At 36.9% G+C, this 27,655-nt stretch overlaps 1 protein-coding gene across 28 annotated transcripts in view, besides 1 other annotated feature; it reads left to right on the top strand.

Moving 5' to 3' along the window:
* Positions 1–27,655, top strand: part of SUPT3H (SPT3 homolog, SAGA and STAGA complex component) — a 568,878-nt gene that overhangs the window by 83,640 nt on the left and 457,583 nt on the right. The gene's annotated exons all lie outside the window — the stretch shown is intronic.
* Positions 24,856–25,056: a silencer, noted in NCBI's record as "peak5822 fragment used in MPRA reporter construct". NCBI's record gives its function as "represses an SCP1 promoter by STARR-seq MPRAs in K562 erythroleukemia cells {active_cell/tissue: K562}" and the evidence as "EXISTENCE:reporter gene assay evidence [ECO:0000049][PMID:32103011]".

The following is a 27,655-nucleotide window of genomic DNA, read 5'->3' as shown; positions in this document are numbered from 1 at the left end:
TTTAATCATAAAGTGATGCTGGATTTTGTTGAATGCTTTTTCTGCTTCTATTGAGATGATCATGTGATTTTTAATTCTGTTTATGTGGTGTATCACATTTATTAACTTGTGTATGTTAAACCATCCCTGTATCCCTGGTATGAAACCCACTTGAACATAGTGAATTGTCTTTTTGATATATTGTGGATTTGGTTAGCAAGTATTTTGTTAAGGATTTTAGTATCTGTGTTCATCAGGGTTATTGGTCTGTAGTTTTCTTTTTTTGGTTATGTCCTTTCCTGGTTTTAGTATTAGCGTGATAATGGCTTCATAGAATGATTTAGGGAGGGTTCCCTCTTTCTCTATCTTGTAGAATAGTGTCAATAAGATTGGTACCAATTCTTTCAGTGTCTGGTAGAATTCTGCTGTGAATCCATCTGGTCCTGGACTTTTTTTTTGATAGTAATTTTTAAATTACCATTTCAGTCTCACTACTTGTTATTGGTCAGTTCAGGGTATCTAATTTATCCTGATTTAAGCTAGGAAGGTTGTATCTTTTCAAGAATTTATCCATTTCTTCTAGGTTTTCTAGTCTGTGGATGTAAAGGTCTTCATAGTAGCCTTGAAGGGTCTTTTGTATTTCTTTGGCGTCAGTTGTAATTTCACATGTATTGTTTCTCACTGAGCTTATATCGATTTTCTCTCTTCTTTTCTTAGTTAATCTTGTTAATGGTCTCTCAGGTTTATCATTTGAAAGAACCAGCTTTTTGTTTCATTTATCTTTTGTATTTTTTTTTTGATTGTTTCAGTTTCGTTTAGTTCTGCTCTGATCTTGGTTATTTACTTTCTTCTGCAAGGCTTGGGTTTGGTTTGTTCTTGTTTCTCTGGTTCCTTGAGGTGTGACCTTAGATTGTCTGTCTGTGCTCTTTCAGACTTTTTGATGTTGGTGTTTAGGGCTATGAGCTTTCCTCTAAGCACTGCCTTTGCTGTGTCCCAGAGGTTTTGATAGGTTGTGTCACTATTGTCATTCAGTTCAAAGAATTTTTTAAATTCCATTTTGATTTCATTTTTGACCCACTGATTATTCAGGAGCAGGTTGTTTAATTTCCATGTATTTGCGTGGCTTTGGAGGTTCCTTTTGGGGTTGATTTCCAGTTTTATCCCACTGTGGTTTGAAAGAGTGCTTGATATAATTTCAGTTTTCTTAAATTTATTGAGGCTCATTTTGTGCCCCATTGTGTGGTCTGTCTTGGAGAAAGTTCCACACCTTGTTGAATAGAATGTATATTCTGTGGTTGTTGGATGGAATGTTCTGTATATATCTGCTAAGTTCATTTGTTCCAAGGTATAGTTTAAATCCATTGTTTCTTTGTTGACTTTCTGTCTTAATGACCTATCTACTGCTGTCAGTGGAGTATTGAAGTCCCCCACTATTATTGTGTTGCTGTCTATCTCATTTCTTAGGTCTGTTAGTAATTGTTTTATAAATTTGGGAACTCCAGTGTCAGGTGCATGTATTTTTAGGATTGTGATATTTTCCTGTTGGACAAGGCCTTTTATCATTATATAATGTCCCTCCTTGTCTTTTTTAACTGCTGTTGCTTTAAAGTTTCTTTTGTCTGGTATAAGAATAGCTACTCCTGCTTGCTTTTGGTGTCCTTTTGCATAAAATGTCTTTTTCCACCCCTCTGCCTTAAGTTTGTGTGAGTCTTTATATGTTAGCTAGGTGAGTCTCCTGAAGGCAGCAGATAATTGGTTGGTGGATACGTATCCATTCTGCATTTCTGTATCTTCTAAGTGGAACATTTAGGCCATTTACATTCAATATTAGTATTGAGATGTGAGGTACCATTTTATTCACCATGGTATTCGTTGCCTGTATACATTAGATTTTGTTTTTGTTTTTTAAATTGTATTTTTGTTTTTGTTTTTTAAAATTGTATTTTTGTTTTATAGGTCCTGTGAGATTTATGCTTTAAAGTGGTTCTATTTTGATGTGCTTCCAGGATTTATTTCAAGATTTAGAGCTCCTTTTAGCAGCTCGTGTAGTGGTGGCTTGGTAGTGGCGAATTCTCTCGGCATTTGTTTGTCTGAAAAAGACTGTATCTTTCTTTCATATATGAAGCTTAGTTTCACTGGATACAAAATGCTTGACAAAAATCATTTTGTTTGAGGAGACTGAAGATAGGGCCCCAATCCCTCCTAGCTTGTAGGGTTTCTGCTTAGGTATCTGCTGTTAATCTGATAGGTGTTCCTTTGTAGGTTACCTGGTGCTTTTTTCTCACAGGTCTTAAAATTCTTTCCTTCATCTTAACTTTAGATAACCTGATGTCAGTGTGCCTAGGCAGTAATCTTTTTGTGATGAATTTTGCAGGTGTTCCTTTTGCTTCTTCTATTTGGATGTCTAGGTCTCTAGCAAGGTCAGGGAAGTTTTCCTCGATTATTCCCCCAAGTATGTTTTCCAAACTTTTCAATTTCTCTTCTTCCTTGGGGACACCGATTATTCTTAGATTTGGTTGTTTAACATAAGCCCAGACTGTTTGGAGCCTTTGTTCGTATTTTCTGATTTTTTTGGTCTTTGTTGGAGTTTGTGAATTAGAAGACCTTGTCTTCAAGCTCTGAATTTTTCTTCTACTTTTTCAGTTTTATTGCTGAGACTTTCCAGAGCATTTTGCGTTTCTATGAGTGTCCATTGTTTTCTGAAGTTTTGATTGTTTTTTATTTATACTGTTTCCCTGAATATTTCTTCCTTCACTTCGTGTAATATTTTTTGGATTTCCTTACATTGTGGCCACCTTTCTCTGGTGTCTCCCCTATTAGCTTAATAACTATCCTCCTGAATTGTTTTTCAGGTACATCAGGGATTTCTTCTTGGTTTGGTTCCATTGCTGGTGAGCCAGTGTGTGATTTTGGGGGGTGTTAAAGAACCTTGTTTTGTCATATTACCAGAGTTGGTTTTCTGGTTCCTTCTCATTTGGTTCCTTCTCTCTGTCAGAGGAAAGGTCTAGCGCTAAAGGCTGTTGTTCAGATTCTTTTGTCCCATGAGGTGTTCCCTTGATGTAGTACTCTCCCCCTTTTCCCATGGATGTGGCTTCCTGGGAGCCGAGTTGTAGTGATTATCTCTCTTCTGGATCTAGCCACCCAGCAAGTCTACCAGGCTCTGGGCTGGTATTGCAGGTTGTCTGCAGAGTCCTGTGATGTGAACCATCTGTGAGTCTCTCAGCTGTGTATACCAGCACAGTATTTGGGGTGTCTCCAGGGTCTTGCAGGAGGAATCTGCTTCCTTCAGGGGGTCTGTGGGTCCTTTCAGGTTTCCTGATTTATTCCTGCAGTCGTTCTGGAGCAAAAATTCATGATGCGAGCCTCCACATGCTGCTCTGTCCATCCGAGTTAGAGCTGCAGTCTAGTCCTGCCTCCTGTCTGCCATGATCCATCCATTTTCTTGGGCCTCAGATTCCTCATTTGTGAAATGAGACTAGAAAAGCCTCTGGCTCCATAGGCTTATGTGATACAATACTGTGGGATACTTAGTACATAGAGTAAGTCCTCAGTGTTAGCTACTGTTATCATGTGACACTACAAACAATAGTTTAGAAATAATTCGGAATTGGATAGACCTGATACCTGGTCTAACTCTGCTTTTAGCTTTGAATGAGAGTTTCAGCCACTTCTTTGGACTTAGTTTTTAGTTTTTTAAAAATATTTTTAAAAGAGAGATCATAAGGCCCAACTTACGGGATTTTTGTTGATGTTTAAAGGAGTATATAGTTAAAACAGTGCCCAGAAGAGTAAATACAAAATAAATGCTAGATTTCTCTTCCATTCCACTCCCTACCCTCTGCTTTTTTTTTTTTTTTTTGATCATCCATGCCCTGATCTTTTTCCAGAAGAGATTCACTTAATCCTATGACAGTGCAGTTCAGACCTGACTGGAGTACTACAAATGTAGTTTGATCTGTGCCTGGTAGATAATTTAAATTGACCAACTCCAAGGTAGTTATATGTTAAGTCAGCATTTGTCTTCCTTTTTGTTCACAAATAAAAGCAAGAGCCTTTTTACTTTCCAAATGATTTTAAAATTTAGATTGAATTTGTCCAAAGGAAGAAAAATATATTTAATTTTTTTTTCTTTTTTTGAGACGGGGTCTCACTCTGTTGCCCAGGTTGGAGTGCAGTGGCATGATCATGGCTTACTGCAGTCTTGAACTCCTGGACTTAAGCGATTGCCCCACCTCAGGCTTGTCAGTAGCTGGGACTACAGGTGTGTGTCACCACGCCTGACTAACTTTTTAAAATTTTTGTAAAGATGGCATCTCTGTTGCCCATGCTGGTCCTGAACTCCTGGGCTCAAGCAGTCCTCCTGCGTCAGCCTCCAACATGCTAGGTGACTATAGGTGTGAACCATTGCACCAGGACTTTAATATTTTTGTTAAGAAATTGTTGCTGTTAAAAACAATCATAATTCAGTCTCCTCTGTACTAGTGTTACCAGCTGACGTACCATTTTTTGTTTAAAATCTAAACAGCAAGCATATTTAGTAAATATCTCATCCTTACCTGTGAAACTTATAGCATATGACGTAACAGAGGTATGACTGATGGATGTTTTCTCGTGTTTACTTATTCCTTTTTGAGGAACTGAAGAGCAATAATGGTTTATGCATAAGTATTTTCTAAAAAGCCTATGTGTTAATATATTATCTGACCTCTCAAGTTATTCAGATGATATCTCTTTAATATGCCACTAAGAATGGAAGGAGAGTGGCTCAGGGAAGATAAGACAAAAACTTTTCATGTTATTATTTTTTAAATTATGAATTACTTTAAAGATACAGTGAATTACTGAGAAATCCTCAGATTTCCACTTCCTCAATATTTTATTTGATAAAAGAAAGGTGGATGGTGGCTTTCTATTTCCTCAGTAATACTCTGTATCTTTATAGTACTTTATAATTTCAAAAATGAGTGAGAAGCAGTTTGTCATTAGAATTTATTAATATCTTATTTTGGCTCTTCTTACGGTTCTTTTTTATTTATAATACATGATTCTGGATTTTTTTATGGTAGGGATATAAAAATTCCCTTTAAAATTAATTTTAGTAACAATTTAACAACATAAAGGGTTGATAATTTGAAAAAATACTTGAAGAAAATATTAAGCAAATAAGAGTGCAATAGTATGCTGATATGCAAGATGGTTAAACATGGAATATGAAAAACACATTAGAAAGAACCATGTTTTAAGATACAGTTTCTTATTAAAAGAAATGTGTTACTAATCCTGGCCCGATGCTGAGAGTAGAGAGAAATAGCTCCTATGGATCCTATATTAGAGGACACTGTATAATGTTTGTCACCTGTATCAAATGTAGAATGTGTATATAGGACCTCGTCTCATGTAATTCTTTAAAACTGAGTCAGTGGAAGGGAGAGAAGATAAGTGGAAAGATGGATCAATGGACAGAGGATGGGCAAAAAGTTCTCTCTTTTTCTTTCTTTTAAATGTCTTTTGTGAAAACTGTCAGAAAAAGTTGTGTTCTTTATAATGGTAATGGTTTGTCTTTATCAAACGGTGAATATTTAGAATATATTAAAGTATCCCACAGTGTGATTATTGCAAGGAATTAATGAATTTATAAACAGTACTCAGAACATTGCATGTAGACTGAAAAATGCTTTGCTATATATATATATATATATATACATATATATATATACACATATATATATATACATATATATATATATATACATATATATATATATATACACACACACACACACATTGTATCTCTTATTGTGTGTAAATACTGTGATTAATAAAGTACAAATACATTTTAAAACATTATTGAATTTATAATAATTTTGCCATCTATATTCTAAATCAGCATTGCATAGTTATTATGTTTGAATATGTGATTTTTTTGTGTTAAAGAAATTACCTTCTGACTTAAAATGGCAGGAAACCACTGTTACTGATTCAAAAACTATCCTTAAGTCTCTTAATAAATACCGTTATTTATGCTTCTCAGTTATAATCCCTAAAAGATACATTAGTTTCAGCCCTTTTTAGTTGTCAGTTAAGTATTGAGTTATGTTTGAGGTTGAGGTGGAATGGATTTGATATCATATTGTGAAAGGTGAGTAGCAGAAGGTGGCTTTGGCACATAAAAGATGTCAACTCAGAAACTACCTGATGGCTGCTCTAGGATTCTCTTTAGAAAATAGTATTAGGTAAGTTCTAGTAAGAAATAGGTGCATCAAGCCTTATAATTTCATAAAATACATGAATGGCTGTCACGTTAACCTGGAAACTTTAAAGGCAAATATAACAATTAGCTGTTCTCAGCTACAGAAGTAAAATTTTAGGAAAGGAATGTGCAGCAGATCTCATTTTCAAAAAGTTACAAAATAACACGAAGAACTAAGTGTGGTAAGTTGCTTTAAGTAATTTTTAGGATAAGTCTGTTACAGTTCGGAAGTTGCAGTTATTTTTGGAAACTATTGAAATTGATTAATGGTCTTGTGCTTTTCAAAATTGTAGTGATACATTAAATTTACCATTTGCACTATTTTTAAGTGTAGAGTTCATTGGCATTAAGTACCTTGACATTGCATAATCATTACACCTATTCATCTCCAGAACTTTTTCATCTTCCTAAACTGAAATTTGGCAACCATTAAACAATAACTGCTCCTTCCCCCATCCTCCCAGTCCCTGGCAAACAGCATTCTACTGTTTCTTTCTTTGAATTGGACCATACAAATTATATGAGGTCACTCCTATAAGTAGAATCATGCAATATTCATCCTTTGGTGACTGGTTTATTTCACTAAACAACCTTCATGGTTCATCCGTATTGTAGTGTGTTACAGAATTTCCTTTCTTTTTAAGGCTAAATGCCTTATATGGATATACAGCATTTTGTTTATCAGTTTATCTGCTGAGGGACAGTTGGATTTGTTGACCTTTTGGCTATTGTGAATAATGGTGTTATGAACATCAGAGTACCGATATCAGCCATTCACTCATGTTATAATTTTTTATATTTTTTATTTTTTATTTTTTATTTTTATTATACTTTAAGTTTTAGGGTACATGTGCACAATGTGCAGGTTTGTTACATATGTATACATGTGCCATGTTGGTGTGCTGCACCATTAACTCGTCATTTAACATTAGGTATATCTCCTAATGCTATCCCTCCCCTCTCCTCCGACCCCACAACAGGCTCCGGTGTGTGATGTTCCCCTTCCTGTGTCCATGTGTTCTCATTGTTCAGTTCCCACCTATGAGTGAGAACATGTGGTGTTTGGTTTTTTCTCCTTGTGATAGTTTGCTGAGAATGATGGTTTCCAGCTTCATCCATGCCCCTACAAAGGACATGAACTCATCATTTTTTAGGGCTGCATAGTATTCCATGGTGTGTATGTGCCACATTTTCTTAATCCAGTCTATCATTGATGGACATTTGGCTTGGTTCCTAGTCTTTGCTATTGTGAATAGTGCTGCAATAAACATACGTGTGCATGTGTCTTTATAGCAGCATGTTTTATAATCCTTTGGGTATATACCCAGTAATGGGATGGCTGGGTCAAATGGTATTTCCAGTTCAAGATCCCTGAGGAATCGCCACACTGACTTCCACAATGGTTGAACTAGTTTACAGTCCCACCAACAGTGTAAAAGTGTTCCTATTTCTCCACATCCTCTCCAGCACCTGTTGTTTCCTCAGTTTTTAATGATCGCCATTCTAACTGGTGTGAGTTGGTATCTCATTGTCGTTTTGATTTGCATTTCTCTGCTGGCCAGTGATGATGAGCATTTTTTCACGTGTCTTTTGGTTGCATAAATGTCTTCTTTTGAGAAGTGTCTGTTCATATCCTTTGCCCACTTTTTGATGGGGTTGTTTTTTCTTGTAAATTTGTTTGAGTTCATTGTAGATTCTAGATATTCGCCCTTTGTCAGATGAGTAGATTGCAAAAATTTTTTCCCATTCTGTAGGTTGCCTGTTCACTCTGATGGTAGATTCTTTTGTTGTGCAGAAGCTCTTTAGTTTAATTAGATCCCATTTCTCAATTTTGGCTTCTGTTGCCATTGCTTTTGGTGTTTTAGACATGAAGTCCTGGCCCATGCCTATGTCCTGAATGGTATTGCCTAGGTTTTCTTCTAGGGTTTTTATGGTTTTAGGGCTAACATTTAAGTCTTTAATCCATCTTGAATTAATTTTTGTATAAGGTGTAAGGAAGGGATCCAGTTTCAGCTTTCTACATATGGCTAGCCAGTTTTCCCAGCACCATTTATTAAATAGGGAATCCTTTCCCCATTTCTTGTTTTTGTCACGTTTGTCAAAGATCAGATAGTTGTAGATACGTGGCATTATTTCTGAGGGCTCTGTTCTTTTCCATTGGTCTATATCCTCTGTTTTGGTACCAGTACCATTCTGTTTTGGTTACTGTCACCTTGTAGTATAGTTTGAAGTCAGGTAGTGTGATGCCTTCAGCTTTGTTCTTTTGGGCTTAGGATTGACTTGGCAATGCAGGCTCTTTTTTGGTTCCATATGAACTTTAAAGTAGTTTTTTCCAATTCTGTGAAGAAAGTCATTGGTAGCTTGATGGGGATGGCATTGAATCTATAAATTATCTTGGGCAGTATGGCCATTTTCACGATATTAATTCTTCCTACCCATGAGCATGGAATGTTCTTCCATTTGTTTGTATCCTCTTTTATTTCATTGAGCAGTGGTTTGTAGTTCTCCTTGAAGAGGTCCTTCACGTCCCTTGTAAGTTGGATTCCTAGGTATTTTATTCTCTTTGAAGCAATTGTGAATGGGAGTTCACTCACGATTTGGCTCTCTGTTTGTCTGTTATTGGTGTATAAGAATGCTTGTGATTTTTGCACATTGATTTTGTATCCTGAGACTTTGCTGCAGTTGACAATCAGCTTAAGGAGATTTTGGGCTGAGACGGTGGGGTTTTCTAGATATACAATCATGTCATCTGCAGACAGGGACAATTTGACTTCCTCTTTTCCTAATTGAATACCCTTTATTTCCTTCTCCTGCCTGATTGCCCTGGCCAGAACTTCCAACACTATGTTGAATAGGAGTGGTGAGAGAGGGCATCCCTGTCTTGTGCCAGTTTTCAAAGGGAATGCTTCCAGTTTTTGCCCATTCAGTATGATATTGGCTGTGGGTTTGTCATAGATAGCTCTTATTATTTTGAGATATGTCCCATCAATACCTAATTTATTGAGAGTTTTTAGCATGAAGGGCTGTTGAATTTTCTCAGAGGCCTTTTCTGCATCTATTGAGATAATCGTGTGGTTTTTGTCTTTGGTTCTGTTTATATGCTGGATTACATTTATTGATTTGTGTATGTTGAACCAGCCTTCCATCCCAGGGATGAAGCCCACTTGATCATGGTGGATAAGCTTTTTGATGCACTGCTGAATTCGGTTTGCCAGTATTTTGTTGTATTTTTGTATCGATGTTCATCAGAGATATTGGTCTAAACTTCTCTTTTTTTGTTGTGTCTCTGCTAGTCTTTGGTATCAGGATGATGCTGGCCTCATAAAATGAGTTAGGGAGGATTCCCTCTTTTTCTGTTGATTGGAATAGTTTCAGAAGGAATGGTACCAGCTCTTCCTTGTAACTCTGGTAGAATTTGGCTGTGAATCCCTCTGGTACTGGACTTTTTTTGGTTGGTAAGCTATTAATTATTGCCTCTATTTCAGAGCCTGTTATTGGTCTATTCAGAGATTCAACTTCTTCCTCGTTTAGTCTTGGGAGGGTGTATGTGTTAAGGAATTTATCCATTTCTTCTAGATTTTCTAGTTTATTTGCGTAGAGGTGTTTATAGTATTCTCTGATGATAGTTTGTATTTCTGTGGGATCAGTGGTGATATCCCCTTTATCATTTTTTATTGCATGTATTTGATTCCTCTCACTTCTTCTTTATTAGTCTTGGTAGCGGTCTGTCAATTTTGTTGATGTTTTCAAAAAAAACCAGCTCCTGGATTCACTGATTTTCTGAAGGGTTTTTTGTGTTTCTATTTCCTTCAGTTCTGCTCTGATCTTAGTTATTTCTTGCCTTCTGCTAGCTTTTGAATGTGTTTGCTCTTGCTTCTCCAGTTGTTTTAATTATGATGTTAGGGTGTCAATTTTAGATCTTTCCTGCTTTCTCTTGTGGGCATGTAGTGCTCTAAATTTCCCTCTACACACTGCTTTGAATGTGTCCCAGAGATTCTGGTACATTGTGTCTTTGTTCTCGTTGGTTTCAAAGAACATCTTTATTTCTGTTTTCATTTCATATTTCATTATGTACCCAGTAGTCATTCAGGAGCAGGTTGTTCCGTTTACATGTAATTGAGCAGTTCTGAGTGAGTTTCTTAATCCTGAGTTCTAGTTTGATTTCACTGTGGTCTGAGAGACAGTTTGTTATAATTTCTGTTCTTTTACATTTGCTGAGGAGTACTTTACTTCCAACTATGTGGTCAGTTTTGGGATAGGTGTGGTGTGGTGCTGAAAAGAATGTATATTCTGTTGATTTGGGGTGGAGAGTTCTGTAGATGTCTATTATGTCTGTTTGGTGAAAAGCTGAGTTCAATTCCTGGGTATCCTTGTTAACTTTCTGTCTCGTTGGTCTGTCTAGTGTTGACAGTGGGGTGTTAAAGTCTCCCATTATTATCGTGTGGGAGTCTAAGTCTCTTTGTAGGTCTCTGAGGACTTGCTTTATGAATCTGGGTGCTCCTGTATTGGGTGCATATGTATTTAGGATAGTTAGCTCTTCTTGTTGAATTGATCCCTTTACCATTATGTAATGGCCTTCTTTGTCTCTTTTGACCTTTGTTGGTTTAAAGTCTGTTTTATCAGATACTAGGATTGCAACCCCTGCCTTTTTTTGTTTTCCATTTGCTTGGTAGATCTTCCTCCATCCCTTTATTTTGATCCTATGTATGTCTCTGCACGTGAGGTGGGTTTCCTGAATACAGCACACTGATGGGTCTTGACTTTTTATCCAGTTTGGCAGTGTGTGTCTTTTAATTGGAGCCTTTAGCCCATTTACATTTAAGGTTAATATTGTTATGTGTGAATTTGATCCTGTCATTATGATGTTAGCTGGTTATTTTGCTCGTTAGTTGATGCAGTTTTTTCCTAGCCTCGATGGTCTTTACAATTTGGCATGTTTTTGCAGTGGCTGGTACTGGTTGTTCCTTTCCATGTTTAGTGCTTCCTTCAGGAGCTCTTTTAGGGCAGGCCTGGTGGTGACAAAATCTCTCAGCATTTGCTTGCCTGTAAAGTATTTTATTTCTCCTTCACTTATGAAGCTTAGTTTGGCTGGATATGAAATTCTGGGTTAAAAATTCTTTTCCTTAAGAATGTTGAATGTTGGCCCCCACTCTCTTCTGGCTTGTAGAGTTTCTGCTGAGAGATCAGCCGTTAGTCTGATGGGCTTCCGTTAGTGGGTAACTTGACCTTTCTCTCTGGCTGCCCTTAACATTATTTCCTTTATTTCAACTTTGGTGAATCTGACAATTATGTGTCTTGGAGTTGCTCTTCTCGAGGAGTATCTTTGTGGCGTTCTCTGTATTTCCTGACTTTGCATGTTGGCCTGCCTTGCTAGATTGGGGAAGTTCTTCTGGATAATATCCTGCAGAGTGTTTTCCAACTTGGTTCCATTCTGCCCGTCACTTTCAGGTACACCAATCAGATGTAGATTTGGTCTTTTCACATAGTCCCATATTTCTTGGAGGCTTTGTTTGTTTCTTTTTATTCTTTTTTTCGAAACTTCTCTTCTCACTTCATTTCATTCATTTGATCTTCCATCACTGATACCCTTTCTTCCAGTTGATCGAATCGGCTACTGAAGCTTGTGCATTTGTCACGTAGTTCTCGTGCCATGGTTTTCAGCTCCATCAGGTCCTTTAAGGACTTCTCTGCATTGGTTATTCTAGTTAGCCATTCGTCTAATTTTTTTTTCAAGGTTTTTAACTTCTTTGCGAAGCGTTCGAACCTCCTTTAGCTCGGATTAGTTTGATTGTCTGAAACCTTCTTCTCTCAACTTGTCAAAGTCATTCTCCATCCAGCTTTGCTCTGTTGCTGGTGAGGAGCTGCGTTCCTTTAGAGGAGGAGAGGTGCTCTGATTTTTAGAATTTCCAGTTTTTCTGCTCTGTTTTTTCCCCATTTTTGTGGTTTTATCTACCTTTGGTCTTTGATGATAGTGACGTACAGATGGGCTTTTGTTGTGGATGTCCTTTCTGTTTGTTAGTTTTCCTTCTAACAGTCAGGACCCTCAGCTGCAGGTCTGTTGGAGTTTGCTGGATGTCCACTCTAGACCCTGTTTGCCTGGGTATCAGCAGTGGATGCTGCAGAACAGCAGATATTGGTGAGCAGCAAATGTTGTTGCCTGATCGTTCCTCTGGAAGTTTTGTCTCAGAGGGGTACCCGGCCATGTGAGGTGTCAGTCTGCCCCTACTGGGGGGTGCCTCCCAGTTAGGCTATTCGGGTATCAGGGACCCACTTGAGGAGGCAGTCTGTCTGTTCTCAGATCTCCAGCTGGGTGCTGGGAGAACCACTCTCTTCAAAGCTGTCAGACAGGGACATTTAAGTGTGCAGAGGTTTCTGCTGCCTATTGTTTGGCTATGCCCTGCCCCCAGAGGTGGAGTCTACAGAGGCAGGCAGGCCTCCTTGAGCTGTGCTGGGCTCCATCCAGTTTGAGCTTCCCGGCTGCTTTGTTTAGCTACTCAAGCGTCGGCAATGGTGGGCGCCCCTCCCCCAACCTCGCTGCCACCTTGCAGTTTGATCTCAGACTGCTGTGCTAGCAATGAGCGAGGCTTTGTGGGCACAGGACCCTCTGAGCCAGGCACGGGATATAATCTCCTGGTGTGCCATTTGCTAAGACCATTGGAAAAGCGCAGTATTAGGGTGGGAATGACCCGATTTTCCAGGTGCTGTCTGTCACCCCTTTCTTTGACTAGGAAATGGAATTCCCTGACCCCTTGCGCTTCGCGGGTGATGCGATGCCTTGCCCTACTTCGATTTATGCTTGGTGCGCTGCACCCACTGTCCTGTCCCCACTGTCTGACAGTCCACAGTGAGATGAACCGGTACCTCAGTTGGAAATGCAGAAATCACCCGTCTTCTGCATTGCTCATGCTGGGAGCTGTAGACTGGAGCTGTTCCTATTCGGCCATCTTGTCTCCACCCCTCATAAATTTTTAAAGATATTAAAAACTAAAACAGTCTTTTATAAGTTGCTTAATTTGAAATGAGCTATCTCAGTTAATTACTATTACTTTGAAAAACAAATAATCTACATCTGGTTACATCGAAGTGCAGTTTTCCCCCTTTATTTTTGTTAGCTATTTTTAATTGTATGTTTTTTATGGACATTACAGATGTTAATGGCAATTACTCAACCATTTTAGGAAGTTTTAAATATTTAGGAATGTTTAACCACTCTGTTGTTATAGAACATGTTATATTTTTAAATAGGAGAAATAAAGTTGATAAGGCATAAACTATTCTTAATAATTTGCCCATATATTTTATCCCATGGTTACCACTCTAGGTGAAGCCACTAGGAGTTCTGTAGTTGGTTTCCTCTTATCCACAATAGACCTTTTATTACCAGTTCATGTTACAAGGGGAGTAATTAATAATAATCCTCACGTGTTCTGAATATATTGAAAAGAGACAGAAGATAGACAAATGATAATCAAAGTATAAACCTTTTTTTCTTTTTCTGTTTTTTAATGATAAGCTGATTGGAAAATGTGGTTCTGTATCTATACCTAAGAGGTTTTTTTTGTTGTTTTTTGGTTTTGTTTTATTTTTGAGATTTTGCAGTGGCATGATCTTGGCTCACCATAACCTCCACTTCCTGGATTCAAGTAGTTCTCCTGTGTCAGCCCCCCGAGTAGCTGGGATTACAGGCATGTGCTATGTTTCCTGGCTAACTTTTTTTTGTATTTTTAGTAGAGACAGGGTTTCACCATGTTGGCCAGGCTGGTCTCAAAATCCTAACCTCAAGTGATACACCCACCTCAGCCTTCCAAAATGATGGGATTACAGGTGTGAGCCACGACACCTGGCCTATACCTAAAAGTTTGTGCTCACATTCTTGGTGTACCCTCATTTAGTTCTTGGAACCTGTTTTTGATTGTGGAAAAATTTGGCTTCCCGTGTTAGACATACATATTTTTGCAGTAGAAGAGATGGTGAGACATGATTAGATTCTCGATATATTTAAAAGAGTCAAGATAATTTGCTAAGAGATTGGATGTGGGGATTGAAAATAAAGCTGGAGTTAAAATGACTCAAAAGTTGTTGTTCTTGTCAACTAAATAGATAGGAATGGTCATCAGCTATCATGGAGTGCAAGTAGAGCAGGTATATTAGAAATTAAGTTTTGGTTATGTTAAATTTGAGGTATCTGTTAGATAACCAAGTTGAAATATCAACTAGGCTATTGGATGTGAGTCTGGAGAGATTTCTGGACCGGATATAACAGCTCTATCAATATGATAGCTTTTATAGATGTCTTTGTATAAATACATTGTATTAGGCCATTTTTATATCACTATAATGAAATATGTGAACTCGGTAATTTATGAAGAAAAGAGGTTTAATTGGCTTATGGTTCTGCAGGCTGCACAGGAAGTGTGGTGGCAGCATCTGCTTGACTTCTTATGATGCCTCAGAAAGTTTACAGTCGTGGTGGAAGGCAAAGGGTGAGCTGGCATCTCACATAGCAGGAGCAGGAGCAATTCAGAAAGGGGGGAGGTGCTACACATTTTTAAAAAATCAGATCTTGGCAGAACTTACTCTCAGGAGGACAGCACCAAGCCACTCATGAGAGATCTGCCTCCATGACCCAAACATTTCCTGCCAGGCCCCACCTCCAACATTAGGGATAGCATATCAACATGAGTCTTGTAGGGGACACATATCCAAACCATATCATACATGCACACAAACATACACATAACCTCTACTTAAATGGTTTCTCTCATTGTTTTCATTAAATATGTACATTTTACATTGTCCCTAAATATTTTCTACAGTGTAATGCTTACTGGTCACATGGTATTTTATTTTGCAGATGTCATAATTTGGTTTCATTAATCCCATTTTGGGTCAAAAGATTTTAGATATTTGAAGGCTGTTTTTAAACTTTTAAATAATAAAAGTTGTAGTTAACACTAAGAAACATAAGTATCTTAATCGAGAATTAAATAAAAATTTTAATTAGGTGACAGTTTTTTCATTGTACTTGGGATCTGGAGTTTTAGGTTTCATGAATTATTTTAACTTTTTTCAGAAATATTATCCAAATGTCTTTTTTTTGAAATATGCTAGTTTTAAAAAATTCTACATTGTATCTACTCTATCAATTAAATGATTTTTGTGTTGCTTGAAGGTCACAATTAGCACTTTTTGTGTTTATTGTCTTATTCATGAATAATTTGCAGTGCTCCTAAATATGTCTGCTTGTTGCTCACAGTCCAGTGTTTTTTAAATGATTGTTCTGTCATTTTCTATAATCTGTATTGAACAAGTCACAGACTTCTTATTGTACTCTTCTCTGTGTAATTCTTGCTTATAAATTGTAGTGCTTTGAGGAAATCATTAATTCTTTTGCAATGACATTTAAAATGAAATCAACATTTAGTTGTTTGAAAAAGTAACAGCTGTGACTTTGTAAGCTACTGTTAGTGGCTTTGGAAGCTAGTTCGCTAGTTGTCATAATGAGGTCATTTTCCAAAAGAAGATGAAGTCATTTGCCATTTTGTTTTAGTCATAGTGGGCTTTTTCTTTGCCCAAATATTTTTGGATTACACATTCCCACCCACTTATTTTCATAGTTGCTAATGCTTTTGTGGAATAGGATAATGATGGAACTTTGAAAGGCAACAGTTTATACTTAACATGTTCATTATAGGATTTTTGTTTTGTACCATAGTTGGAAAAAGACCTGTGTAGACTTGAATATCATTAAAGTATATTTTCTTTTTTTTTAAATTATACTTTTAGTTCTGGGATACATGTGCAGAATGTGCAGGTTTGTTATTTAGGTATACATGTGCCATGGTGGTTTGCTGCACCCATCAACTCGTCATCTACATTAGGTATTTCTTCTAATGCTATCCCTCCCATAGCCTCCCAACCCTCCCCCGACCCCACCCACTGCCGACAGGCCCCATTGTGTTATGTTCCCCTCGCTGTGTCCATGTGTTATTGTTCAACTCCCACTTATGCGTGAGAACATGTAGTGTTTGGTTTTCTGTTCCTGTGTTAGTTTGCTGAGAATGAGGGTTTCCAGCTTCATCCATGTCCCTGCAAAGGACATGAACACATCCTTTTTTATGGCTGCATAGTATTCCATGCTGTATAAATTGTAGTGCTTTGAGGAAATCATTAATTCTTTTGAAATGACATTTAAAATGAAATCAACATTTAGTTGTTTGAAAAAGTAACAGCTGTGATTTTGTAAGCTACTGTTAGTGGCTTTGTAAGCTAGTTAATTAGCTAGTTGTCATAAGGAGGTAATTTTCCTTATGTGCCACATTTTCTTTATCCAGTCTATCACTTCTAATCGGAGATCCAAGTCATGTTTGGAATTGCGTGTGTGTAAATCCTGACACAGAGAATATGGAGTTACACCAAAAATTGTATTCTTCTGAGTCCCTATAGGGTAATGCTTTATTCAGAGTCATGTAATAATTCCCACCTACTTGAATGCCTGCCTGTTGCTTCACCATATGTCTACAGTTTTGGAGGGTCTGTGGCCCTCCAGATCCATTTGTGGTGGAAAGTTTATGGCTAGTAGAGATAAAGATTGTATCCATCCCACTGATTGTCATCTATTTTCACTGGTACAAAAAAAATTCTCTTTTCTTCTGGGATATATTCCATATAAACCTGTACGTTTATTGTAGCCTGAGGATTCCAGACATATTAGAAGTGCTAATCCTAGATAATAATTCTAATCTAAACCTCCTTTTCTTTGTAAAGGAAAAATAACTGTAATATTTTATGCAGTAACATAAAAATAGCTATATATAATTTGGACACTTCTAATAGAGAAAAGTATTTCTATGAAGTATTAGAATTTATCTTAACTAATAATAATAATTTGACATTAGTGGAATAAAATGGAGAGTCCCAAAATGAATTCAGTTGCATTTAAGAATTTAGTATAAGCATCACAAAGCAAGAATAAGTGATTATTAAGTAATGTTACATTAGATTAAATGGTTTAATATATTGAGTTTACATTGGATAAGGAGTTTTATGTAATATAAAATCATAAGAAAAGCTTATAGAAAATAGAAATGTGTTTTATCTTTGGAAGTATTGTAATTAAAAGGTAGTTTCTGGTGACCAGTGTCCTAAGTAGTATATAGTTAAGTATCTTGTATCAGTTATCTATTGCTACAGTAATGCAATATCACAAAGCAGTTCAAAGTCTCTGTGGCATGCAACAGTTAAGTCCTCATTGGTCATGTGTGTATGATGGTCAGCTAGGCAGCTCTGCTGATTTTGGATGGCCTTAATTGGAGGAACTGTTTGACTTGGTTTTACTCTCTCATCAAGTAGCAGGTGTGTTCTCCTCATAATGGGAGAGATGTAATAAAGACCAAAAAATGCAATACATTTTAAAGCCTAATCTTGTAGCTGGTGTGCCATCACTTTAATCTATTGGCCAGAGTAAATCAGAAAATCAGCTAGGGTTCAATGAGTGGGAAATATACGCTGACTCTTTAAATGAAAAGAATTGCAAAAATTGCAAAACCACATGGAAAAAGATACAGATATGGGGAGGGGTGAAGAATTGGGGCCATTATTGTAATCTATCTCACAGACCCTAAAGCAACAAAAGCAAATGAACAATAACTATTTTAGTGCATAACTTTTTTCTTTATATAGTATTTGATTATATTGTATAAGTTTTTATAGGAGAGGTTTCTATTTTCATATTATAATTTTGAAAAGCTGTGTAGTTTTTTACATTAATTTTGAAATGTTAAATGGTACTAATATATAAACTCCATTTAGTTGTGCTATATTATTCTATTTATATGTCTGCAGAGTGTGTTTATTCAAACACTGTTTTTAGTAAACTTTTTAGGCTTTTATGTTTATGTATGTTGACATTTTTGGTAAAATAAACAGTAATGCAGTAAATAGCAGAATATTTTAGTGCGTTGTTAGCATAAATTCTGCGACTGGAATTGTTTTATGAAAAGCTGTTTCTGGGGGAAAATAATATACATACCTGACAGGTATGTATTTTCTTATGGTACATTAGAAAAAATAATCTCTGGAAGGGAATAGAAAAAAGATAATACTGGTTGTTCTTCAGTAAGGGAACTAGATAGTTAGTAGACAATAATAGGAGGGAGACTTTTCAGTGTGTGTTTCTTTTTTAATTTTTTAACCTATTGAATATTGAGCTAGATAAATGTATTATTCAGTCACAAGGTAATATTTTTAAAACCTTTTTATTTTTAAATAATTTATGTCATTCTAAAAAGTTGCAACAATAGAGTGGAGAATTTAAGTATTCTCTTCACCCAACTTCCCCTAATATTAACAACTTACCTAACCAAAGTATAAATATGAGAACTAGGAAATGCTATGTTTTATCATACTATTAACTAAATTACAGGCCTTATTTAAATTTCACCAGTTTTTCCTCCAGTGGAATTTTCCTGTTCCAGGAATCAGTCTGTCATTTCACATTACATTTAAATATTCTATCTTCTTAGTCTCTTCAAATCTGTGACAGTTCTTCATTCTTTTCCTGTCTTTCAAGACGTGATACTTTAGATGAATACTGACAATAATTTTACACAATGTGTAACAGATAATTTTAAAAAGAACACTTTTAAGAACAAATTTAGAAATATGTCATAATGATTTTTTCTTTTTCTAAAAAAATGGTAAAGTAAAACATACATCTCAAAAATAACAGAGATTATAAGAATATTATAGATGAATGAATATTGAAAAACTGAACATAGTCATGAAACAAGTAAGCAGACCAAGAAATAGAAGATTGCCTTCATCTTAGAATCCTCCCTCATGTTCCCAGTCACCAAGCCCACTACTTTTTCATCTCCCAGTTTATTTTGTGATGTTAATATTACTGTGATATAAAAAACAGTAATTGCAAGAAAAGAAAGCTGTACACTACTATCGCTTATGAATATAGGTACAAAAATTCTCAACAAAATAATAGCAGCATATAAAACATATATACCAAGTTTCAGGGAAATTTATCTCAGGAATGCAAAGTTGGTTCAGCATCCAAAAATCAATTAATATAATATGCCTCATTAATAGAAAAAAAGAAAAAAATCAAAGCATCAACTCAATAGATACATACAAAAATTAATACTTGACAATGTCCAACACCTTTTCTTTCTTTTTTTGAAACAGGGTTTTGCTCTGTCACCCAGGCCACAGTGCATGTTTGGCTCACTGCAGTCTCGACCTCCTGGGCTCAGGTGATGCTCCCACCTCAGCCTCCAAAGTAGCTGGGAGTACAGGCATACAACACCACACCTGGCAAATTTTAAAAATATTTTTAATACAGACAGGGTTTCACCGTGTTGCCCAGACTGGTCTCAAACTCCTGGGCTCAAGCCATCCACCTGCCTCAGCCTCCCAGAGTGCTGCGATTACAGGCATGAGCTGCAGTTCCCAGCTAATCAACTGATTTTTGATAAAGGTTCTGAAATAATTCAAAAGGGAAAGAATAGCTATTTCAAGGAATGGTGCTGGAACAACATGAAATAATTTGGACCTCTTCTTCATGCCGTACATAGATATTAAAGTGGATCATAGATCTAAATATAAGAGCTCAAACTATAAAATGTTTAGAAATATAGGAGTAAATGTTCATGACCTTGAGTTTGGCAAAACACTCTTAGATATAACACAATGACCTTGAGTTTGGCAAAGCATTCTTAGATATAACAAGCTAACAAAGGAAAAAAGGTAAATTGGACATCATTGTAATTAAAAGTTTTTGTATTTTAAGGACACTTTCAAGACGATAAAAGCACAGTTCACTCAATGGGAGAAAATTTCTGAAAATCACAAATTTGTAAGTTACTTGTATCTGTGAAGAACCTCTTACAAGTCAACAATTAAAAAGACATTACAATTAAAAAATGGGCAAAGGATCTGAATAGACTTTTCTCCAAAGAAGATTTACAAATGGCCAAATAAACACATGAAAAGATGCTCAATGTCATTAGCTATTGGCAAATCAAAACAACAATGATGACTACTTCACACCCACTAGGATAGCTATGATCAAAAAGATAACAAATGTGATGATGTGGAGAGATTGAAACCTTACAATGTTGATGGGAATGTGCTATGGTGTGGCTAGTTTGGAAAACATTTTTAGCAGTTTTTCTAGAGGTTAAATGAATACAGATTTCCCACGTGATCGAGCAGATTCACTCCTAGTGAAGCAGAATGAAGAGAAATGAAAATATAAGTCCACACAAAATTTGTACATGATGTTTGTAGCAGCATTATTTCTAATAGTCAAAAAATAAAAATGACCCAAATATTTGTTACCTGATGAATGGATAGCAAATGTGGAGGAGTCATACAATTAAATATTGTTATTTGATAATAAAAAGGAATTAATTACTGATATACAAGGGGTCTTTTAAAAGTTTGTGGAAAATGTGAATTATGAAATACTATGCCTGGGTTTCACATTTTTTTTAAACAACAAAATAAACTCTTACTAACTTGTTATAACATGTATGACAGGATCTAGTTTGAGGGACTAAGATGGATAAGACATCCATTTGAAAAGAGCAACATGAATTCTGCCCAAGTTGAAGCAAGAACTAATATCAAATTTATGGGGAAGCTTGGGTGGTAGAATGGTGAAATCACTGATGCTTCACAAGAAGTATATGAGGACGACAGTGCCCCAAGAGATCAGCAGTTTACAAATGAACGTCTCATTTCATGAAGGGATGAGGCGATGCTGTGAAACCCACAGCAGCGGACCATCCACATCAATTTTCAAGGAAAAAATGTATCTTGTTTGTAGCCTTATCGAAGAGGATTGACAACAGCAGAAACTGGCCAATACCATAGATATCTCAATTGGTTCACCTTATACAATTCTGACTGAAAAATTAAAGTTGAGCAAACTTTCCACCCGATGGGTGCCAAGGTTGCTGCACCCAGATCAGCTGCAGACAAGAACAGAGCTTTCAGTGGAAATTTCAAACAAATGGGCTCAAGATCTCAAAGCATTTCTTCAAAGAATTGTAACAGGAGTTGAAATGTGTATTTACTAGTATGATCCTAAAGACAAAGAACAATAAAAACCATGGCTACCAAGAGGTAAAAGTGGTCCAGGCAAAGCAAAAGCAGACTGGTCAAGAGCAGAAGTCATGGCAACAGTTTTTTTGGGGATGCTTGAGGCGTTTTGCTTGTTGACTTTCTGGAGGGCCAAAGAATGATAACATCTTATTATTAGAGTGTTTTGAGAAAGTCAGCCAAAGCTTTAGCAGAAAAAAAAATGCCTGGTAAAGCTAGAATCCTTCTCCACCAGGACGGTACTCCTGTCTTTCCTCCAATCAAGAGCAATTTTGTGAGAGTTTCCATGAGATATCATTAGGCATCCACCTTACAGTCCTGATTCAGCTTCTTCTGACTTCTTTTTCTTTACTAATCTTAAACTGTCTTTAAAGGTCAATGTATTAGCCCATTTTCACGCTGTTGATAAAGATATATCCGAGACTGGACAATTTACAAAAGACAGAGGTTTAATTGGACTAACAGTTCCACATGGCCGGGGAAGCCTCACAATTATGGCAGCAGGCAAAGAAACAATGAGAGCCAAGTTAAACGGGTTTCCTTTATCAAACCATCAGATCTCGTGACACTTACTCACTATCACAAGAACAGCATGGGAAAAACCTGCCCCCATGATTCAGTCACCTCCCACTTGTCCCTCCCACAACCTGTGGGAATTCAAGATGAGGTTTGGGTGGGGACACAGCCAAACCATATCATTTCATCCCTAGCCCCTCCCAAATCTCATGTCCTCACATTTCAAAACCAAACATGCCTTCCCGACAGTCTCCCAAAGTCTTAACTCATTTCAGCATTAACTCAAAAGTCCACAGTCCCAAGTCTCATCTGAGACAAGGCAAGTCCTTTCTGCCTATGAGCCTGTCAAATCAAAAGCAAGTTTGTTACTTCCTAGATACAATGGGAGTACATCATTGGGTAAATACAGCCATTCCAAATGGGAGAAATTGGCCAAAACAAAGGGGCTACAGGCCCTGTGCAAGTCTGAAATCCAGTGGGGCCATCAAATCTTAATGCTCCAAAATGATTTCCTTTGACCCCATGTCTCACATCCAGGTCACACTGATGCAAGAGGTGGGTTCCCATGGTCTTGGGCAGCTTTGCCCCTCTGTTTGCAGGGTACAGCCTCCCTCCCAGCTGCTTTCATGGGGTGGAATTGAGTGTCTGCAGGTTTTCCAGATGGACAATGCAAGGTGTCCATGCATCTGTCATACTGGGGTCTAGAGGATGGTGGCCCTCTTCTCACAGCTCCACCAAGGAGTGCCGCAGTAGGTACTCTGTGTGGAGGCTCCAACCACACATTTTCCTTTCACATTGCCTGAGCAAAGGTTCTCCATGAGGGCCCTGCCCCTACTGCAAACTTCAGCGTGGGTATCCAGGCATTACCATGCATCCTCTGAAATCTAGGTGGAGGCTCACAGGCTTCAGTTCTTGACTTCTGTGCACCCACAGGCTCAACACCACGTGGAAGCTGCCAAGACTTGGGGCTTCCACCCTCTAAAGCCACAGCCCGAGCTATACCTTGGCCTCTTTTAGTCATGTCTGGAGCACCTGGCACGTAGGACACCAAGTCCCTAGACTGCACACACCGCGGGGACCCTGGGCCTGGCCCAGGAAACCATTTTTTCCTCCTAGGCCTCTGGAACTGTAATGGCAGGGGATTCCGTGAAGGCCTCTGACATTCCCTGGAGACATTTTGCTCATTATCTTGGGGATTAACATGTAGCTCCTTGTTACTTATGCAAATTTCTGCAGCTGGCTTGAATTTCTCCCCAGAAAATGGGATTTTCTTTTCAGTCGCATTGTCAGGCTGCACATTTTCCAAACTTTTATGCTCTATTTCCCTTTTAAAATGGAATGCCTTTAACAGCACCCAGGTCACCTCTTGAATGCTTTGCTGCTTAGAAATATCTTCTGTCAGATACCCTAAATTATCTCTCTCAAGTTCAAAGTTCCACAAATTTCTAGGGCAGGGGCAAGATGCCACTAATCTCTTTGCTGAAACATAAGAGTCACCTTTGCTTCAGTTCCCATAAAGTTCCCCATCTCCATCTGAGACCACTTCAGCCTGGAGTTCATTGTTCATATCATTATCAGTATTTTGGCCAAAGCCATTTAACAAGTCTCTAGGGAGTTCCAAGCTTTCCTACATTTTCCTGTCTTTCTGAGCCCTCCAAATTGTTCCAGCCTCTGCCTGTTACTCAGTTCCAAAGTTGCTTTCACATTTTCAGGTATCTTTTCAGCAGTGCCCCACTCTGGTGGTACCAGTTTACTGTATTAGTCCATTTTCACACTGCTGATAAGGACATACTCCAGACTGGGCAATTTACAAAAGAAAGAGGTTTAATTAGACTTACAGTTCCACGTGGCTGAGGAACCCTCACAATTATGGCAGAAGGCAAGGAGGAGCAAGTCCCGTGCTACATGGTTGGCTGCAGGCTAAGAGAGAATGAGAGCTAAGCAAAACAGGTTTCCCCTTATCAAACCGTCAGATCTCGTGAGACTTATGTACTACCGCGAGAACAGCATAGGAAAGTCCTCCCCCCATGATTCAGTCACCTCCCACTGGGTGCCTCCCACAACACCTGGGAATTAAAGATGAGACTTAGGTGGGGACACAGCCAAACCATATCTGTCAACCACTTTTTTTTTTAATATAGTTAATAGTGTATAAAAAAAGACTGCACTGACATGGCTAAATTCCCAGGACTCTCAGTTCTTTAGGGATAGAGTAATAAGTGGCTGGTATCATCATTTACAAGTGTCTTGACCTTGATGGAGCTTATGTTGAACATAAGGTTTATATTCTTTTATTTTTATCTTTCAATTACATTTTCCATTAACTTGTCATATGAAGTCCCTTCATATGAACTTAAAAACATTATGTTGAAGAAGCCAGTCATAAATACCACGTATTGCATGATTTCACTTATTTGTAATATCTAGAATAGGCAAATCTATAGAAACAGGATAGATCCGTGGTTGCCTAGGGCTGGGAGCAGGGAGTGAGTAGGGTCAGGATAGAGGAATGACTGTTAAAGGACAGGGTTTGTTTTTGGAGTGATGAAAATGTTCTGAAATTAGATTGTGTTGATGGTTGCACAACTATGAATATACTAAAAACTGTTGAATGGTATAATTTCAGTGGATGGATTTTATGGTATGTGAGTTATATCTCAATAAAATTGTTAAATGATCAATAACCCTTGCGCTTTAAACATCTGTCTCATATGGGAGGCAAGTGTATAAAGCAAACAATTAAATTGATAACGTGGTAAGTGCAATAGCTTAAAGATATTGTGAAGCTTGAAGATTGACTAGTTGTTTACCTGTCAGACTGTGGAAGGGATCTCTGTAGAGGGAATTGTCTTTCCTAACCATTCAAATGTCGGTTGAGGGGATAATACTTTGAGAGATTTACAAATGATTCTGTTTAAGTAGAGATAAAGTGCGTGCCTAATACTCAGAGCTTAGTAGACTCTCAAATTGTAGTTGTCATGGTGAGACAACAGTACTAATAATTTTGATGATTAAAATGGTATAGTCTGAGGAAGTAATTGTTTCTTTAGCGTTTTCTAAAATATGTTCTAAATAAGGCTTTCCTTCAGATGCTTCTTGATAAAATGGTGTTAAACAAATGAGGAATGTGGTATTATTTGTACTTAACAGTGTAGGTACCATATTAAAGGCTCCAAATAGTCCTACAGTAAGGAAACTATTTAATTTTGTTCAACTAAGGGTTTCCCAAATTTAGTTCATTCAGTATCCATTTGATTTGACGATACCTGTTACCATGTTTTGCCGTTATCCTTCTCTGAAACATATTTTAGTATGTGCTGCTCAAATTTCTTTCTTTTCACTAGCTGTGGTGATTGGAGTATGATATACCCAAGCTTTACTTATTTGGCTTTCTAGGTGATTGACTTTCCAGAACAATACCTTCAGTTATAATGTTCATGTCTCTCTTTCATAAAGCTCTGCATGACACCATCTTTTTGAAGACAGGAAAAAAGTTACATTTTCCTGATGAATTGTTGTGCTTCATTTTATTAGGTTAAGCAGTAGGAACATTTTAACCAATATATTCATTAAATCTTTAATAATTTTGACTAGGATGAAGTTCAGAGTAAAAATCCATATTCAATTTGTCAGGTTATCTGAAATAAGTTTCTTTCAGAAACTATCACACATTCTTCTTAGTTATCTAACATTTAGTTTTGTTGAATAGTTATGGTTTTTGTTTTCTATGTGTACACATTCTTCTTAGTTATCTAACATTTAGTTTTGTTGAATAGTTATGGTTTTTGTTTTCTGTGTGCCTCTGCTGTAGTTTACTTTAGACCCTTTTTACAAGTAGGTATACTATACACTTGTATAATTGCTTACAGTGAGAATAAAAATTCATGTCAGTTGATGTATATAAGAATGTCCTGATTATGTTTTGGAGATTGTATTTTAAATGATCTCCAATTTATCCGAATCGTTCATTAAAAAATATTTTAAGGATTTTCTGTTGTGCTTTTATGGAGAATCATGTTTTTTGTTGTTGTTTTTACTCTATTTAGGCAGATCTGTAAATCATGTATCTAGGTGCTAAGCTGTGGAAAAATATTTGACATTCAAGTTTGATGGCATTTTTATGTTTTGGAGGATTTGCCATTAATTTCAGAGTTCCACACGCACCCCTTTTTAATTTCTAAAAGTGTGAATTGTAATTACAAGATATAAATTATTTGGGTCTCTGAGTCTGTCATGTCATAGCAGCAGGACTATGATTGCATATATGTATTCCAGATAAAAGAAGGAACTAATTGTTTCCATTGATGTGTTTACCTTAATGATTTCATTTGTTTTTTAACTTTGAATATCAAGGCCTTTCATTCTATGGAAAGAGAACTAATTTTATATTGTTGTATACTGTTGATGTTTCAACCTTAATGTCAATGAGAATAATGTACCTATAACTCTTTTTACTATTGTTGCATAGCAAATAATGGGTAGCTCAGTGGCAACAATTATTTGTATGTGAGCTGGCAGCTCTGCCTCGCATTGCAGATGTGTGGGTAGGCTGGGTTGGTGCTACTCCCCATGACTTTCATCTTTACTTTTGGATTAGGGGGCAACCTAGGTCATGCTTTTTTTCTTTTTCTTTTGGTGATGGTGGTGTCTCCAGAGGGCCTCTTAAGTCCTTGTAAGGCCTAGGCTCTTAACTGGCACATTTTGTCACTACTGCCTATTTATCATTGGCCAATTTAAAGTCAAGAGGCAGAGAAGTAACTCTGCTAAGTGCAATATATTGGATGTAGATGGTGTATATTGTAATCTATCGTAGTGTGAGAGTTCAAAGGAGATAGGTATTAGGCACTGAAGAATAACACTAAGAAATTGAATATTAGCCAAGTTTTTAAAATAATTTCTTAATATCTCAACTATTTTCAAATATATTTTTTAATTCAATAACTTTCAGTTTACTGCCCTGGCAGACAACATTGGGATCATTTTAAGGCTTGCAATAAAAACATTGCACTTGTATGCATGTGCAGAAATGTGTGCATATTTTTATGTATGAATATGGGAGAGAGAATTAAATATTTTCCTTTTTACTCTATAAAAGGAATAGATTGAAGAAGTAAGGGATTTTAGATGTCCTTGTTAACTCCTTAATTAGGGCATGAATTTTAGGTCTTAAAATGCGTATTCTCTAAATCCGTTATATAAATTAAAATCGGAGATATGTGTGGCATGGTCAGCCTTTTCAATAATACAGGTTGAGTATCTCATATCCAAAATACTTGGGACCAGAAGTATTTTGGATTTTGAGTTTGTTTTTCATATTTTGGAATACTTGTGTATATATAATGAGATACCTTGAGGATGGGACCCAAGTCTAAACATGAAATTCATTTATGTTTCGTATATACCTTATACTTATAGGCTGAAGGTAAATTTATACCATAATTTTAATAATTTTGTTTGCTGAACAGTTTTGACTATGTAAACTGTAACCTGTCACATGAGGTCAGTTGTGGAATTTTCCCCTTGTAGATACCATGCTGGTGCTCAAAAACTTTTGGATTTTGGAGCATTCTGGATGTTCAGGTTAGGAATGCTTAAGCTGTACTCATTTATTGAATATGCCAACATAATTTGTAAAGAAGATGTTCCTTAATGGCTACCTCTGTAAATATGTGAAAAAATATTTTTCATTTTATGCCTCAGAGTTTTTATATATGACTGAATATAGTGTCTCTGAATATAAGGCAGATTTCTGTTTATCAGATGAGAAGATTTTAAAAAGTTGTTTACTTAGTT

Source organism: Homo sapiens, chromosome 6 (genome assembly GCF_000001405.40).
Source record: "Homo sapiens chromosome 6, GRCh38.p14 Primary Assembly".
Lineage (NCBI taxonomy): Eukaryota > Metazoa > Chordata > Mammalia > Primates > Hominidae > Homo > Homo sapiens.
Note: the sequence above shows the minus strand (reverse complement) of the source record. Positions and strands in the feature narration are given on the sequence as shown.